This window comes from Homo sapiens, chromosome 1 (genome assembly GCF_000001405.40).
Source record: "Homo sapiens chromosome 1, GRCh38.p14 Primary Assembly".
Lineage (NCBI taxonomy): Eukaryota > Metazoa > Chordata > Mammalia > Primates > Hominidae > Homo > Homo sapiens.
Genome location: NC_000001.11, coordinates 58,234,994 through 58,254,001, shown reverse-complemented (window position 1 = coordinate 58,254,001; position 19,008 = coordinate 58,234,994). Strand labels below are relative to the sequence as shown.

The 19,008-nt window shown below is 42.6% G+C and overlaps 1 protein-coding gene across 4 annotated transcripts in view, besides 1 other annotated feature; it reads left to right on the top strand.

The window, feature by feature from the left end:
* DAB1 (DAB adaptor protein 1) overlaps positions 1 to 19,008 on the top strand; it is a 1,551,949-nt gene that overhangs the window by 292,725 nt on the left and 1,240,216 nt on the right. For 3 of the 4 annotated variants that reach the window (NM_021080.5, NM_001379462.1, NM_001353980.2), the window contains exon 1: positions 3,499 to 3,762. The exons of the other annotated variant lie outside the window; for it this stretch is intronic. The gene's annotated coding sequence lies outside the window, so the exon portion shown is untranslated. Of the gene's footprint in view, positions 1 to 3,498; positions 3,763 to 19,008 lie in introns of those variants that run through there. 4 annotated transcript variants of the gene reach the window in all.
* Positions 3,371 to 3,665: a silencer, noted in NCBI's record as "tiled region #8067; HepG2 Repressive DNase unmatched - State 4:PromP, and K562 Repressive non-DNase unmatched - State 20:ReprD". NCBI's record gives its function as "represses a minimal TATA promoter and a strong SV40 promoter by Sharpr-MPRA in HepG2 and K562 cells {active_cell/tissue: HepG2 | K562}" and the evidence as "EXISTENCE:reporter gene assay evidence [ECO:0000049][PMID:27701403]".

Here is a 19,008-nt window from a genome sequence, read left to right as displayed (position 1 = left end):
ATATTCATACTTTTATCCTTGTAGGGTGCTTTACAAATTATTTTCATCTGCATTATCTCATTTGATTCTCAGGGTATCTGCGAAGGGCTGGGATGACTATTCCTGCCTGTCCAGTTGAAAAACAGAAGCTCAGGTCCTAGTATCATGGCCCTGAAAGAGAAAGACATTTGCAGAGCTTGTGCAGTGATCACCCAGGTAATGTATGGTACAGAGCGTAGAAGGATCCCTAGATTTGGAGCCAGAAGGCTCAGGATTGAATCTTAACTCTTACTAGTTAGCTGTTGGTCTTTGAGCAAGTCACTCAATCTCTCTGGTTCTCAGTTTTACCATCTGTCAGTTGGGGAAATAGGGATGATCATTTCCCTTCAAGGATTCTTGTGAATATCACAGGAAATAACGTAAAATAAAGTGCTCTCTAAACTGTCAAGGGCAGCCCAACTATTTGAGGCTGATTTTTATCAGTGGTGATGTGATGGGTCCAGCTGGTAGTACAGACTCACAATAACTGACCGTGCACACCTCTTCTTAATTCCACATTCAGTGACACACTTTTTTGGTAACTTGAAATCAGCCAAGGGGAGGATATTTACACTCAGGAAATTGGCAAATGCCATGACTCAGGGCTTTATTGTTAATCAGGCTTGTTAACAACAATCAGAGTCAGTTGTTAACCAGTTGCCAGTGGTGGTGGGGTTGGCAGGAGAGAAGAAAATGATACCAATATTTAAGAACATAGATAGATAAATGAGCAAATCCTTAGAGCATTTCCTTTAGTCTTCACAGCTCCTGGGGCAGATAGTGATTCAATTTTTTAGATAAGGTAATTAAAACTTTGAGAGGTTCATAACTTGCTTAGAAAACACAATAAATGACAGGAGAGGTTCGAAGTCAGATCTCACATTCTCTCTGATTCCCATGCAGCAACCCAAAGGTACATCCACTAGCATCTGTTCTCTCCCTGATTTCCAACCCAGCAGTAGTGAGTAAGTTTCTATGACCACTTAACATTTAAGATCCCTATCTGGACTTCAATATACTAGTTTTGGAGTTGGAGAAACTAGCTCGGAAAAGATGGAGAGAAGTGCAATACATTGAGTTGGGCACAAGGGAATGAGTTGACTGTCTTGGCGATCTACAGTTCTGGGTCTCAATTGGATAAGTGCTTCGGGGCCCTGGGAATTAGGCAACACCATTAGGGTTGGGGTCATTTGAAGCACCTGGGCTTAGAGAAGGAGAAAGTCAAGAGCACCTGGGTCCAAGTTCCAGCTCTGCTACTTCACCTGTCTGGGGTTTAGCTTTCTCATCTGTCAAAGGGGGGCAATATCAAATCATGCCTGTTTTATCTCATTGAGTTTCTGTGGTAGCAGTGGGGAGCAAGATCCTGGAGGCCTCTGGAATCTGTTACACTATACTGATATCAGAAATTATCACGTGTCTCAGCCGAAAACCTTTCCTCCTGTTGCTAAGAGAGAAAGGACTGTCTGTTTCCCTTTCTTGCCATCTCTGGCTCTACACATCCCCAAACAGCTCTGTTTTCCTTTCTATTTTTATATCTTGAGTGCTTTATATGATGATGTCCTGCATGCTTCTAACTAGATGAAGGTGGCAGACAGGAAAAAATTGAAAAGACCTAAACAAAATGAAAATCTTTCCTGCTCGAAATGTTTCCTGCTTGAGAAAAAGACAGATGGGTTCAGGGGCTGGCATTACTAATGCAAGCATCCCAGATGCTGAGAGAAGCTTTTCATGGACTCAACAAACAGGCAACCCCTGCCTGGTCCTGGACAGGACAGAAGGGTTATAGGAGCACTCCAGAGGCTCCTTGAAGACCTGAAAGTAGAGAAATGTTGAACATGAAATTAATGGTCATTTAGCACCTTAGGTGCCTTCCTTGTCACATTTCATCCTCACAATACTTGTATGAGAATATATAGATTATTATTTATATTTTCCAGTTAAGGAAAAGGATACTCAGAGAGTGGTAGGAGAAACTCATACCCAGACCCCCAGGGTAGCTGTCCAGTGGCCTTTTTTTCCTAGCGGAACTACAGGCAGAGGGGAAGTTGCTGTGGTTGTGGAGGTCAGGGAACTTGAAAGGGACTTTTATTCAGCACTGTGGGACACTCTGATTGGATCCTCTCCTTCCACCCACGCCCCCTTCAGTACATTCTCTGCACAGCAGCTGGAGTGAGCTTTTACAAATAAAAATCACACTCTTTCCAATCCTGTAACAGTTACATCTCTAACCCCCAAAACTCCAAACTTAGCATCAAGTCAATTTCCCTTACTGATCTTTACCCATAAGACCAGCCTCCCTCTTCAACCTCTCCACCTCATCTCGTGTCACCAACTCATCACTCTTGCTACATTCTAGCCACACTTCCTTCCTTCTGCTATTCAAACACATTCAACCTGTTCCTTCTTCAGGGCCTTGGCTCTTGTTCCCTCTATTTCTAATGACTGGTTCCTTATCATACAGATCTCAGATTAGTGGTCATGTGCTTGGAGGCCTCTTTCCCAAATGCCCAGCCTGATGTCCTACCCTAGTCATTTTCTATCACATGTCGCCATCTACTTAAATTTTGGTCAATAGCGATTATTACTATCCAATAGTTTCTTGCTGATTTACTTGTTTATTTTCCGTCTTACTAAAGAGCAGGTTACAAGAGAATAAACATTACTTGTCTGTGTTCTTTTGAATGTTCTGCTCCTCTCCATAAAGTAGAGGTAGGCTCATAGTAAGCACACAAAAATATTTATTGATGAGTGAATTGTTACTGATATATAATTACCTCAGGAAGGGCAGACCTGCATCAGATGAAGGAAGAAAAACTCATGTTTTGCTATCACTTACCATGTGTCAAGCTCTGTGCTTGTCTCATGTGATTCTCACAATTATATGAGACATATGGTTCCCATTTTGTAGATGAAGAAATGGAAGCTCAATCATTTGGTCGTTTGATAAGACCACACAGCTACAACTGAAACCCTGGTCTGCCTGCTTCAGTGCCGACACACTTGATTGTGGGGTGTGCATAACATGTCTCAGGGGTTTATGTACCTGCAGAAGAGTGTGTGTCTGCTGCTGCAAAATCTTGCACCTGTGAACACCCCAAGAAGGAGGAGGCTGTGTAAAAGCACGTGCAGGCCAAGACCCTAGAGGCAGCACAGAGAGGGCTCTCCCCAGTAAATCACTTTTGCTTAACCTGAAGTCCATACTTCCCAGGGGAGCAGACACTGAGAACTGCAAACTGAAGACTGCAGAATGGCTGCAAGTTGTAGACCTCACTGTGACCGTAGCGGAGAAGGGAGTCTGCGAGTGGGTGCTGAGGTCCTTCCCCCTCAGAGCTCACATTCAGGCCAGGTCGGTCAGGCCGCGCCACCTCTTCCTGCAGCAGCATTCCGCGCTAGGTGGCGAAATGCTGAGGGGCTCCCCTATTCGGGGGAATGCGGTAGTGATGTATAAGGTATGAAAGATGTGGCCTGCAGAGAGCCGGCACTATCTCTACTGCTGCTGCTGCTGCTACTGCTGCTGTTGCTACCGCTGCCTCTGCTGCCACCGCCACTACTGCTGCCAGCGGAGCCGCTAGGAGTGAGCATCCCCTCTCCGGGATACCCAGCTCCGCGGCGTCTCCCGCGCGCCCTGGCCCCACACGGACCTGCCAGCCCCAGGGAACAAAAGCGGAGCCCGCTCGCCCTCTACTGCAGCCGGAGGATGAGTCGAGAGGGCTGAGCGGAGAGTGTGGTCCTCGGCGGCTGGAGGTAGGAGAATATGTTGCGCCCGCCCGCCGCGGCGTGAGAGGCTCGAGGTGGGCGCGCCGGGGTAGGGGCGGCCGCGGGCGCCTGTCCGTCTAGTGGGCGCTGCCCGGACCTGGCGAGGTGGTGGTCTGCAACACTGTGCCCGCACTGCCTACTGTGGGTCGGGCGCCGAGCTCTCGCGGCCGCGAGGGAGCCTCCTGGGTGGGAACTGGAGGCAGTGGGGGAAAAGTCTGGAGCCAGAAGCCAGGCAGCGGCTGCCGCGGCGGCTGTGGAGGGCTGCCTGCGGCACTTGGCGGCGCGCGTCTCACCGCGAAGAGCGGGAAGGCGGCGGCTGCAGTGTGCGCAAAGTTTTGGGTGGCGCGCAAAGGCGCAGGCGAGGGCCGCCGCACAGAGCCGCCCAAGTTGTGGCCGGAGCGCCAGGGCGACCCCTGGGAACCCCCCAAGCGGAATCCCCCGAGACAAGCGGCTCTTGCTCCCTGACACCCCAGTCGAGGCCGAGTTGACGCGCAGCCATTTAACCCTTCCTGTCCCGGGGAAACAACTTCATCCGCGTCGACGACTGGACTCTGGCTGGCTGGGCAGCGTCGAGACTTCCGGGGGGTTCAGTCCTGTGGTCTTGAGCATTTCCTCGCTCAGTCCGCGTTCTCTTCATTTCTTTTCTGTCCACTTATGTATCTAGAAACCAGGCAAGCTGGCCAGGGGTCTTACCCAAAGACTGTAATTTTAACCCTCCCGCCATCCGGACGCATGCTTTCTTTCTGCCCTCTCAGCTTGGCTCTTTGATGCTGCTTTGAAAAATGAGATGATTGATCAATTAGATTAGTGACCAATTAGGCATAACCTTGTAGGAAAATAATTATGCCCGGCTCTCTGAGCTTTCACTGATGATGAGGTGGGAATCCAGCCCAGGTGGGGTGTGGGGCGGGGCGGGGGGAGCTGTTCCGAAAAGATAGGGCTGATCAGGGAATTTCTGGGAATTTAAGATTAAAAAGATTCAAATATGTGGTGGTGGCAGAGGTTGTGGGGGTGCAGTAGGAGAGAGAGAATGTGTGTGTGTGTGCGTGTACCAATTTTTGCTGAGAAAATTAACCCTTGGCAGCGCAGTATGGGTGGACTTTGCAGGCAGCCTGTTTCGAACAGCTCAGAAAAGGTGTGTCCCCTTGCTTTCCAAGCCCCCTCCTTTCCTCTCTTTCAGAGGGGCTCTTGCCTGTAAATCGCCTTGCAGTGGCTTTGCTTCCGCTTTGGGAGGCTGAGTTCCAATGAATGCATTTTAGTTTGGTGTCTGAGGAATCGCGTCGTTGCAGACCGAGGTTCCTTACTGTGCCTTCCGAGAATGCACAATTCCCCTGATCGTGTTAAATACAGTGGTTATTAAATGGGTGCAAAAGGAAGACAATCTGTTTCCAGGGCTGGGAAGTTCTGCTGCAGAGTGGGGTTTCCTTTTGCTTTTGGAATGACTGGCGGGGTTTGTCACTGCAGTATTACAACACAGCCATATTAAAAAGGTCTTCAGAGCTTAGAGCCCTCCACCACTGCAGCCCCATCTTCCACACACTTCCCTGCCCAAATCCTTCTTGCAGGGGACATGTAGTGGATTTCATACCTGCACGATGTGCATTTGAACCGCTTTCTGTCTCTATTTTAAGCTTCTTCTATCTGCTTGTACGTTTGATGCTAGATAGTAGATTTCTGTTCAGATTCTGTTCAAAATCTAGAGGTGTTCCCAGGGCAGAGGGATTTTTGCAACAGGTCCTAGGTCTAGGTTTTCTAATAATAGATCTCCCTGGCATTTAGCGACGTGGGGCCCCAGTCTCTCCACCAGTGACCTGACAAGGGTTGGACCAAGAGATCTCTGAAATCCCCTGCAGTGCTGACATTAGCTGATTCTGAATTTTATGGCTTTTTCTTTTTCTGAGCTGAGCGGAAGGAGTAGCTGAGCAGTACATGCAATGTGACAGCAGCAGTGCCACCTCGCTCCCAGTGGAAAGGAATGGGGGCTCGCCAGGGCTTATTGGCAAATAGGGATTTCCCAGCTGGAAGACTGCCTGGTGATACTGGTGTGCAGGGACAACTGGGAGCCACAGGATTCACCCACCTCCCTCAAAATGAATGGCCACCATTCAGCACTCTCTCTTTGACAAGATTTTTTTTTTTCTTGAATTTGGACTCAGCTAGTTGCCTTACAGTGACCACATTTGTCGATCAGATTCTTGTGCTAGCAAAAGCCTTGCTCCTTTTTAAAAATGGAATCTTTTGTACATACCAGGAAGGGATGCAGGGTGAGAATATAGGGAGAGAGGAAAGAAGAGAGGGGAAGAGGCAAAGGAAGGAGTGGGTAGGGGGCAGAGCTAAGAGAAATAGAGAGACAGGGATAGCTTAAGTCTTCAAATACAACCAGACAGTGGGAAAGAGGAAGCAGAGACAGAGAACTCGGTGGGAGGTGGGGGTGGGGTGGGGAGGGTGGTGGTGAGGAGAAGGGAGAGATGCAGGAAGGGAAGGAAAAGCAGAGAGGGAAATACTAGCCCTAAGAGGGAGCGACCAGAGCCCGCATGAAGCAAGACCAGTCTTACCCCCGGCTTAGAAAAAATGTAAAGGAAAATCTCAAACTGCACAAGACACATTCCAGGTAGACTTGCAGCCTGGACTTAGCTTTGACATGATAAGACAATTATTTGTGAAATACACATTGTACCACAGAAAGTCACGAACTCTGTTTCTCCATTCATCCATGACTGGAGACTCCAGTTGTTGGTGTGCTGTTGGTGCTGGGAGGGGAGCTGTTTGCCTAGCAGACATGCTTTGTATAACCTGGAGAGTGTGCTCTTGCTTGGGTCAAGTTGGGTACTCCATTTGGACAGGCTGGGTTTCTCAACAACTTTGGAGGAGGTGTTTTTTTTGGCTTGTTTTCAGACCTGTCTTCCATCGAATGGACAACTTCTACAGTCATGTATTATTTATTTATTTATTTAACCTGGCGGGGGGGGAAATGAAAAATGAATAGTAAACACCCTTACATGCCACCCAGAAGTAGCAGTGATGACAAAATGATTTCAATTAATCTTCTCCTCTCCAGCCTCCTTGCCCCCATTCTGGCCCATCCTCAGAGCCTCCCAGCTCATCTCCTGGCCTCCAGTATGGGCCCTTCCACAGATGTGACACATCTTTCTAGAACATGGCTTTGATCGTGTTACTCCCAGATCAAAAACATAAAGTGCTCCCTATTGCCCAAGGCATACTGTTCAAATTCCTGACTATAGACTTCAAGGCCTTTCACCATCTGGCCGTCTTACTCCCTCCTCATGTTCCTGTGACACACAACACACACACATGCTCACACCGTACACACACACTACCCTCACACCCACACACCTACACACTTATGCACATACACACACACCTTCACACACAGAGTCACACACACCCTGACATACATGCGTACGCATTACATTCACACCACTCACACACAATTTCACACATTCATAAATACAAACACCCCCCACATGCACACAGCATCACACACAGCCTTCTATACATATACACAGCATTAGACATGCCTTCGCACACATATACACAGCATTACACCTACATCACTCACTACCATACTCACACATGCACACCTACCCACACACATCATATGCAGCCTCACACACACTCACATCTATGCACTTACATACAAACCCATACCACATATGAAATACATATCACATATGCTTTTCATACCTTTGCAGGTGCTACTTTCACTCCCTGTTTGGAGAATGTGTTCTATTCATTTGTCCTGTAGACTCTCCTCATGCATTAGGATCCATCTTAAAAGTGACATCCACTCAGAGGTCCCTTTCTCTCAGGAAGCTCGTGTTCCCTCAGTACTCTTTAAACGCCCCTCTTGAAGTGCTGTGTTACAAATCTCCACGTGTTCATCTCTCCCACTAGAGTGAAATTTCCTTGAAAGCAGGGGCTTACCCATTCCACTATTCAATCTCAGGGTATAACACAGTCCTCTGCACGAAAGCATATGATTGATGTTTAATGACTACATTCATTTTAAGAGCTTCTAAAGGATGATTAACATCTTTGACACCTTCTAAACATTTATTTTCTCTTATTCATTTTTGTTAACAATTCTGATACAAACTTTTTTTTTAGAAATTCAAACGATACGGAAGTGTATAAAATAAAAAGTGACAACCCCTTCCCCCACCCCACCTAAATACCTTCTGTGTTTAATACACATTACTAAACATTGGCATTGCTCCTTTACTTTACATAATATTTTCCTAACTAGATTATATGCAGGAAACTTGCAATATATATTCATGTACATCATCTTCATACCTTATACGATACTGTATGTGCAGGATGTGCCCAACGACTATGGAATAAATGAACAGAAACTTGTTCTGTTTATACTTAAATAACTAGGTAGTTGGGCTTATTTTTAAATAAGTAGAACACGAATACTAGTTGGGTTTAAATTTTAAATTACATTAAAAATTGTTTGCTTAATCTTCACAGTAGCCCGATGTGACTGGTGTTGTAATCCTTATTTTACAGATAAAGAAAGCTAGGCTCCAAGAGGTTACGTAAATTGGTCAGGTCAGAAAAAAAAAATAGTAGTGTCTAGATGGATTCAAACCCAGATCTCCTTCATTTTGTTGCCTCTCTTTTTTCCACTCTACCCTATTAGTGGATCTGTGAGCACCCAGAGGCAGGGCATCTAACTCGGCTTCATATGCCCTATATTTGCTCAGAGCTTAAGAGTTGATGGAGCCCTTTAGTCCACATCTTAACAGTTGCCCTTCCAATTAGGTGTCCTTGTCCTTTTGCAGATGAAAAACAGAGGCACACGTGATAAGCTAATGTGACCTGGCCAAGTTCCTAGAGCCAGGAAGAAATGGAAGGTGTTGAACTCAGGTCTTTGGGTCCAGGGCTCATTCTGTATCCTTAGATGTAAGAGTTGATCCCAGGAGGGAGCCAGGCACCTTCTGCTTTCACTTTAGTACAGTGACTGAATGGGGCAGACAGAAGCTGCTCTGAGGCGGCGGGGGGTTTGCTGACACTCATGTCTAGGGATGACAGCACTGTTTTCTGGGACAGTTTCGTTAAGAGATACTCTTTTCCCCAGTACTGTTCTTCTGCATCTCTTATTTGAATCAGAACCATGGAGAGAGTCTGTCTCTTGATACTTTGGTGAGCAGTTGTGGACATAGTTCCTAGTTCTGTAGGTGTGCTAGAAAACCTGATGACATGGTTAAAAACCTTGGTGTTGGGATAATTTGTCAGTGAGGCAGTGGTTACTGGAGGCCTCCAGAGCTTGACTTTGATAGCATCTGCCTCTGGGTAGGTAGTGGAATTACAACTCTCATTTATTGAGGGCTTGCTGTATGTCAGACACTGGGTTGAGCACACTACCTGTATTCTCTGGTTTCATCCTCCTAACGATCCTAGGAATAGTGTTATGACTCTTAGTTTATTCTCAGCTGGAACATGCCTGGCACAATAAAAATCAGTAAAATATTTGCTGAGTTTTTAATGAATAGAGAAGGAAACCAGGGATCAGAGACATTAAGTAACATGTCCTAGGCACAAGTTAGTGCATTTCAGAGCTTGGGTATAAACTCAAGTCTTTCTTACTGTGGAGACTGTTCTTGTTTTGAGTACTTGTGCTTCTTCTAAATTGATAATCCTGACCAAGTGACATAATAGAGCTTGAACTTGCAAAAGCTTTTGTCCAACTCTTTTATTTAAGGGAGAGGGACATTTACTATGTGCAAGGTATTGCTCTAAACACTTTAAATATATTAACTCATTTCATATTCACATTCCACAAATAAGGAATATGAGGCACAGCTTAAAAGTAGAGCTGGGATTTGAGCATGAGTAGCCTGTGCCCTTTACTACTTGGTTATATAAGATTCTGGGACCTGTGTAAGATCCTAGAATTCCTCAGCAGTAGAACCATCATCACCATCACTACAGTCGTCGTCATTGTTATTGCTGATGCTTTTGTAGCAGCTGTTTTAACTGTCTACCTTATACTTATGGGCACTTTTCATATGTTATTCTATCAATTCTCAAAACAATCCCGTATTTCCATGGAAAGGAACTGAGACTCAGTGATGTTAAATGAATGCTGAGAGTCACATGGCAAGTGAGAGAAGGACTGGGATTGGGACATTGTGTGTCTGGTCTCAACATCTGTTCTCATTTTCTTTCTTTAGACTCTTTTTTTCACTGATCCTTGTTGCTACTCTTAAAATTCAGCAAAGCATGAAATGATGAAATTTTTCTTGTGTGTGTGTTTTTTTTTCATTGTCAACCCTATGCACAGAAGGATAATTGTCTAAAAAGACATAGTATTTGCATTTCAGGGGCCTGAGTTTTTCTTCCATTCTACTATCAGGCATCAGAAGGGCTACCTGATGGTTCTGGGTATCTTTTTCAATTCCCTAGAAATGAAATAATATCTGCCTTGTTTTATAATACGGTGATCAGAATAGTAAAGTTGTGATCCTTGTGATTTGAACTCTCACTTTGAGAGTGAAAGGCACCTTGTGAAAGATAGAAGAGAATGTTTCTCAGATTGAAATAAACTGTCTTGGGCCACTGTGTAACACTAGCTGGTTTGGGCAAGGAGGTGATCATTACTTGGTGACATTTAGGCTCTTCCCTTGTTGGCAATAGTACAAGAATTCTATATAATTAATAGTTCTTCACTTGGGACTAAAAAAAAACCCCAGCCATATTGCAGAGGACAAGAGAAACAGTGACATCAGACAACCTTTTCATTTATTTAGCAAAGCACACATGATTCCCATCTCAAAGGGGCAGGCGGACTTAAATCAGAATGAATACCAAATAAAGAATTCATTTCTATTCATAGGCTTTTAATAAATAAAAACAATTTTTTTTTCTGAAATGAGCTCTGAGTCATAGGTGTTGAGGCTTTTTGTTTACTTAAAATGCAGAATACAGCTTCTTATTTCAAAATGACCTTTTTTTTTCTTTTTTTGGAAGCTTGAGCTTAGATCTTTAGTGACATTTTTTCTCCAAGCAAATATTTACAGCCAAGTTGGAAAGTGACAGGAAGGAGGGTTTAAAATGAAAATGTTACCAAGCTGAAGTTTTACATCTGAGTGCAACACATGGTGTCACCATGGACAAAGTACTAAGAACTCAAAATATTTGTCAATTTGTAGAATTTGAAGAAACCAAGCTGTTTTCATTTGTTAAGGTTAACTCTAAAAATCACATTTTGTGCGTGCATCATCATGGTGGCTATTTCCACTTCCTATATGCTTGGTTTGATTCTGGTCATGTGATATCAGCCATTTGCTTATGTTATTTTTTTTTTCCTGCTTCTCCATATGAGGGCGAACTGTTTCAGGGTTAATTCCCCATGTTCATTTCTACTTCCATACCTTCACTTATACAGTTTTTCCTGCCTGGCACTTCCTCTGTCTTCAACTATCCCCCAGATCCAATAGTCTCTTGAAACTGAGGTCAGGTTCTATGTCCCATATGAACTCTTCTTAGTTGACTTCACTCAATAATGACCAGCACTGACATTGGTTGTTTTTATCACTTTATCAACTTTTTCCAAATTGTTTAAATAATACAAATTAATTGTAAAAAATGAAAAAGTATAAAATGATATAAAGGTTAGTAAAAACCACTTCAAATTCTAGTTGTTATCTATAATTTGGTGACCATTCTTTCACTTATCTCTTTAGATGTATAACTACTAGCATATGTAGATGGATATAATTTTATATACTCTGCCTTGGTATGGATATAATTATACATATTCTGCTTTATTATGTAGGCAGCTTACTTTTTATCCGGGATATCTACTTTTTAATACAGCTTTTTTGCTTGTTTACAAACTGGTCTAACAATCCAGATGCCTTCTGTATTTTCTAAGTTCCTATAATCATTTGCAAATACATACATTCACACACACATATACATAGGCAGGAATTTTTGTCATTGGTTTAAATATGATATCATTATACATTTTTTGCATTTGTCACTTAAAACGCTATGGAAAACTATTCTCCCTGTCATCCAGCTCTCCTTGAGTCAAAGGGTTTAGATATGTTATTATTTTCAATGGTTGTATAGTTTTTAATGGAACAAGTATACCATGGATTTTTCCACCATTTTCCATCTGATAGGCATTGATTTTTATTCAGTAATTTTTATAAACAATACTGAAATAAGCATCCTTGAACATTTATCATTTTTAATGGATGATTTAACTTTTATGGGTAGATTCCCAAAAGTAGTATTTCTGAGTCCAAGTGTATGCACTTTTCAGTGTTTTAATAGATGATGCCATATTGTTTTCTAAAGAGAATGTAATAATTCACATTTCCATTAGTGTATATGAAGTAACATCTTCCCCATATCCTTGCCAGCAACATGTATTATCATTCTCTTTTACTTTTGCTAATTTGATAGGTGAGAAATATCTCATTGCTATTTTACTTTGTGTTTTCCTGATGTCTGCCAAGAAGGAGCATCTTTTCACATTTGTCGTGAAAAGATTTGAATTTGCTTTTAAGTGGACAGATAATTAATCATTTTGCCTATTTTTCTTTTAGATGATTCTTTTTCTTATCATTTTGTTCAGGCTTCTTTTACATTATAGATAGTCATTTTTTTCTTTCATCTACATTATATATGATTTTTCCTTCCCTAGAAGTTTAGTCTAATATTATAATGATCTCTTTATTTATGTGTGTTCAAAATAGACCAGGAGTTACTTGACAGTAGTGATGTGTGTGATTCATCTCCAGGACATTGTATTTAGGGCAAGGCTCAAAGGGGTTTAGGTACAGAATAAATGGTTCTAACCCTGACTATCCAAATGTATTTCATTTAACAATGGATTGTAGGAAATGATTTGTTTGTGATATCCAAATGTATTTCATTTAACAATGGATTGTAAGAAATAATTTGTGTATATGGCATCACATGGACTAAAATGTTTCAAATAAAAAAAGTTTCAAGATGACTAATGTTCTGAAATAATAATAATAATTACATACTTTTCTGCTTTTTAAAAGAGTATGACTCGAAATATCATAAACATCAATTATTATGCTGAGCTATATCAAGAATATTCTTAAGGACTATTTAGATACATGAGATTATTTGCCCCTATATGTATGAGTAGCTCCAGACATATGGATATATGGATTTTAAATTCTCATATCTTTATGTGTGGATTTAAAATTCTCATATCTATTTTTTATACTTTTGTCAACTCTCCTCACTGTCAGATTGTGTTATCATGTCTTGGTAATATCAGTTTATCTGCCTTTAAAAACTGTCCTGTATGTTGTCAAACTCTTGAACAGCAAAGGAAAAGAAAAGAGGTCCTCTTCTCTTTCTATTCATCTTTGTATTGCCTGTGGACTAATATACCAGGGACCATGCTTATTGGAAATGTGGATATGATAAGAGTCAGTAACCACCAAGTCTTGGCGTGGGTGCCATTCCTATGAATAAAGTGCATCAGCTTCCAGTGAAAATATAGCTTTGGCTACTTAGGGGTCTTTTTAGTTTCTTTCTTTGTTTACAACTATATTCTGGGAAAGTGAGGTTGCTGGACAAGTGAAGTGGTTGCATGCCATCTCAAGCAATTAGGATATAGGTCCTAATTAATTAACTGCATGTAACCAAGATTTTAAATAAAGTGGCTTAAGAGTGCATTTACAATGGTACAAATACATTTCTCAGTCTCATAAAAGTCTGAGTGTTTAGGGAATAAGCTCTAAGCTGTGAAATTGTGTAAGGTCTAAATTTATTCCAGCTTGTGTTCCTTCACCACTAGGACATGATCCATGATGGTGTGTCACCATATCCTTATTCTAACTGGATGACAAAAAGGAAGAAAAGAAGTCAGGAGAAGGCCTGCCCATTTCTTTTAAGGATATGATCAGAAGTTGCACCTGTAATTTTATTTTACATCCTTATAGGCCAGAACCCAGTCAACTGGCCACTTCTAACAGAAGGGAGACTAAGGAATATTGTACTTATTCTGGATGGCTATGTGCCAGAATTGAGGTTCTATTTTTGGAATGTGGGAAGAATGGGTATTGGTGGACAGTGTGGCAGTACCAGCCACACCTACTCTCATCATTCTGGTGTTCCCTGGGTTTGCTTGTAAGATGGAGTGCAAGGCAGCAGTCGCCTACTTCTTTTGCACTCCACCTCCTACTGTTGTGTGGAGTGTAAAATAGTTACTCAGCAAAGACAACTTTACATTTAATGTTTCTCTTCTTGTTTTAATGATGGGGAAATGCAGGGAAGAGAATTTAGCTTGATAATGACTTGCGGCTCCGGGACTGGAAACCTTTGGTCTTCTTGGCTGATTTTTCTGTAGCTTAGTTCATGTGCTGTCTAGTCCTTTATTGCTCCACTCAGAGTTGGTTATTTTTATTTCTTATTTATTCCTCATTTTCAGCTCTGAGAGGTTCAGGTGTGGAGACCACATGCTTTGGAAACAGGTGTATTTGGACAACTCTGTGAGAGTCAAGGGGGAAAATCAGCCCCCTGCAAATAATATAAGCGAGCTGAAGGTTTGAGATTATGACCTCTTGCGAAAAGGGTCCCCTGGTAATCAACAGATTGCATCTCCTAGCTGAAGTTTCTGCACTCCATGGGCTCCTATTGACTTTCTAATTAACACAAAAGCATCCTTTTCCTTACTCCAGACAGGTTCTGGGATTGGGTTTGCTGTAGCCAAATAGCTGATTCTAACTTGTTCTCTGTTTCCAAAGCACAGTGTGATCTTATTCTTTTTAGGAAGTAGGATTTCAAGGGATGAAATTTAAACATGTCCTTTCTTCCTCCAAGTTAAAAACCAAATGGGAGGTAAATATTGGAGTTTGATAAACATGAAAACGTGCATCTTATTTCTGTTAAAATTTGATTGAAGAATTTAGGTTGTGCAGCTATTTCAGGCTTCCTAAGTCAGTCTGGGCTGGATAGCTCCAGGAAAGCAGTGAAGGAAGATCTTCTAAGGTTAGAAGCTCTGAAAGACAGAAGAAGAGGAGCTGTTGTATCATGTCAATTAGGTTCTTAGTTGCAGATGACAACATTTAAGCTGAAAGGGATTTATTAAGGGGTGTTGGGTAACCTACAGCATTCCGGGAGGGTCCTGGAAGCCAAGCTTGAATGTCAGGACAGATGGCCAATCATATCATGGTATTGCTGGAGTGGACACAACACTGTTGCTAGGGACAGACAGAAGGATCTTTATCGGAACTGCCCCAGAAGTTACTCTCTATGCATATGGTATATACCTTCTTTTAACATGCCCTTCTAAGCCTCATGTAAGTGTATCTGTTTAGTGTCCCCAGAGTTTTGTCTAGTCACTTCTGGTTCCCATGCAGAAGTATAAGAAAGCACAAAAATGGGGCTACAGTGATGCTGTGAGACCCTATAGCATGTCTGCTATAGCCATACAAATTTGCTCTCTTCCTGATTTCACCTAAAATATAAATGGATCCTTTTTCTTTGAAGAGAGAGGCTGGAAGTACCACTGCCCTGCTTTTCTTCTCTGGGCATTCGAGTGGAAGTAGGCTGTTATGCTCCCATTAAACATCACACATTTGTTTACTAATCCTCAGGGGGCACAATGGCAAACAGGATATCCCACACTTCTTAACATGGCATAAAAGTCCCTCCTTGGCTCGTAACCAATTTTTTTCCATCTCATTCCTTTGTAGTATTCTTTCTGTTTACTATCTGGTCCTCTCCTCTGGACTCCATCTATTCTGAACTACCTGGAAGTCACTTGAATATGCCCTGCTCTCCCATGTCTCTATTCTCTGTACCTGCTGTCCCTTCTCCCCCAATCATGAGCAAAATGCCCTTTGTGCCTTGCGTCATTTGACACATTTACCGTTCATGATGGAAGCATCATTTCCTCTGGGAAGCATTCTTTGTTACTTCCTGGACTGGGTGAGGTGACTTCCCTGGATGTAGTCAGAGCACCCAGCAACCACTTCTGTTTTTAACTTAGCACATAGAGACCCTTGGTCTATCCTACTGCTTGTATTACTTACTGTGAGCTTCCTGAGAGCATGGTTTATATCTTTGTATCCCGATAGCTAGCACAATTCCAGGTACTTACTGTTTGTGCAAATGAATACAATAATGAATTACGGGGTACTGCCAAAGGACATGGGCTTTGAAGTTAGAACTTGACTTTGCCACCGCATGGTTGTATAGCTTCAGACAAGTTAAACATAATAGTTCTAAGAAGGCTAAATATAATGAAATAATGCATGTGAAGTGCTTACCAAAGAACACATAGTAAACAATGAGTTGGCTATTATTTTGATTATGATAAGATTATCATGATTATCTCATGTGCTCAATATATGGTAATGATCACCAGTCTACTTTCTGGGCTAACATGTAAAGTGGTCATCTATGACATTTCTATTTGCTATAGAACCACACCAAAATATGCTGAAGCCACCAGTGGCTGCAGAAGAGGAATGAAAATAGACAGAAATTGATAGAAGTCACTATCAGGCAAAATCTGTTACGGAGCATTTCAGTGACAGTGTGAGAGAATGCCTCTTGACACCGGGTTTCAGTAGTTGTGCTGTCACCAGGATTTTATGAACAATTCTGCCTCCTTTACATACTTTTTTCTTTCCTTTAGAATTTTTTTTCACTTAAAAAAAAAGAAAAAAGAAAAAAATGACCCCCAAGGTGATACTGAAAACAGTGTCAAAACTTTAGTGAAGGTCAAACACTTTCCAAGGGATTGCCTGGAAGCACACATCCTGCTGTGTTCTCTCTGTGCCTGTGCAATGTTAACACAGTAGGAGCTTCAAGTTGATGTCAAAAATCAGCTTGGAATATGGCAAATGTCTTCTTCGTGCCAACCTCCCAGCATAGTGTCTTACATAGAGTACATGCATTTTCATCTACGTACGTGCAAAATACCTTCTTTTTCCTCTCTTTTCCCTGTGGATCCATACTTATTTCACTACATTCAATTCAGCAGACATTTATTGAACCCCTACTGTGTGCAAGGAACTCTACTGATTCCCTCCTTCTGTGCCTGTTTCTCCTCCTGCATTAACATTACTGCTTTATTAGAAGTAAAGGCTTGTGTTAAAGGAAACATGGGAGTAGCTGGCATCTACGGGAACAGCATAAGCATTTTTTATTTTGTGGAAATATTTCTTGTTATTGGGGTCTATATTGAAGTATAGTGGGAAGAGGGAGTATAAGGACCAAGGACCTAGTCCCAATTTGATGTATGATCTTGAGAATGTTGTTTAACTTCTCTGGGTTTCAGTTTCCAGCTGTTATCAAGAATCTTTCAGCCCCAATATATTATGACTCAAAAAACTGTAAAAGCAACGTAAAGTTTGGATTTGCTGTGTTAATGTGAAAAGTCTAGCGGATTTGGCATTAGGAGCTTGGTTTGAACTATAGCATTGACATTTGGCCTGTGTGGTGTTCGGTTTGAGCTTCAGCCTCCCAGGGCCGTTCTCTATAGAACTGGGACACTGCCTCTTGCTTTTCCTGCTGCTGAAGTTGTTGTGAAGCTTCAAAGAGATGATGCATGTGAAAGTGAATTATGAATAACAAAGGACTATTTATGCACACATATAATCTCTTATTTCTGTAAATAATCACCTTGATTTCACTATGTTATTCCAATGAGCACTTTTGCATTTGGCCTTCTGGGTTGTTTGAAGGAAACACTGCCTTTCAGTTTTTGTTTTTGTTTTTTGCCCTGAAGCAGTCACAGAGTATCTTAAGTAAGCGGGTGCTGTGTCCCCCATGCGTCTTTCCGATCGACACTCGTCTTGGGTCCCAGAGCCTGACTGAGTGCATAATGTTTTATTGGTTGGCCTGAAAGGAGACCATTTGTTCCCTGCTAAATGAGCTGTTACTGTGCGCCTCTGTCCCTCAGCACCTGGGGCTGTATGCATGGGAGAATCCAACCGTGGATCTCAGAAACCTTTTTGAAAGTTTATTGGAAGAAGGGAGAAAACATTTCTCTGCAGGTTGTTCCCTCCCTCCTTGGCCTTGGCTCATTAGTCAGAGCAGTACGAGGTAGGTGAGGAGGAGTGGGGGCGGGGCGGGGTGGGGCGGGGGGGCGGGCAGGGCTGCAGGCCAAGGGGTAGGCCCAGGATCCTTGAAGCCTTGCTCTCGTCTTTCTGCTGCCCCTGACCGACAGGTGGTCAATTAGCTCTAATTGGAAAGTGTATTGCTGCACATGGGCCGAGGTGGCTTGTGGAAGCATGCCTCCTGTAGCAGCTTTCCCTTATTTTGGCCCCAGGCCTGACCTGATCTTATGGCCTCCAAAAAGAAGACCTCTCTCTCTTTGGGATGTCAATGGCCTGCCTGGTCTAAGGGCCAAAGAGATGACTTCTCTCCAGACTGCAGTCACTGGGTCTCCTGAATAAGGACCAAGCTGCCCAATTAGCCCTTTATCTGGGTGCCTGGTTGATTTTGCAGTTTGGTTCACTGAGGATGATGCTGTTGTTATATCTGTGCCAGATGTGGGTCATCTCAGTCCTGGGTCTCTTGTGATACCCTGTTGATACAGGATGATTTCAAAGTGCAAGAGAGAGAAACCAAGAGAGATCATTTTGCCATAATTGCTTCCTTCACCCCTCCCTCTATATATACCCACACACACTCTTTACATTAGAGACAAATTGAATTAATGATATAACCAAAACTAGGGTTCAGGGCTCCCAGTCTAAAAGAGAATGTGTATCTGGCTCTCACATTGGTAGAACTTTGTTCCCTTATCTTTTTACCCTCATAGCCCAGGTGCTTAGAAAATTCTTGTGAAATAAATACATAACAGCCTCAAAATAGGTTGTTTTCATGGTTCAGCAATTGAGTGCTGCATTCAGATCCTAGTTCCACCTCTTACCAAATATCTGACCTTCAACAAGCTACTGAACATCTTCAAATTCCAGTTTCCATTGCTGTAAAATGGGGATGAGAATAATCAGACTTCCTTCACAGGATGCCTGTGGGCATTAAAGGAGATAAGCATTTGGCTCAGAGCTCAGAGTAATATTTCATTAAATGTTAGTATTTGCCATTTCTAATGAGCTACCTAACTCTCCACCCATCACACAGATGAAGATGCTGAGGCAGGGTGTGTGGCGAGGGGCCGGATTAACTTGTCCAGTATTACACTAATTAGAGACAAGGCCACGAATAGATTCTAATCTTTATTTTCTTCCC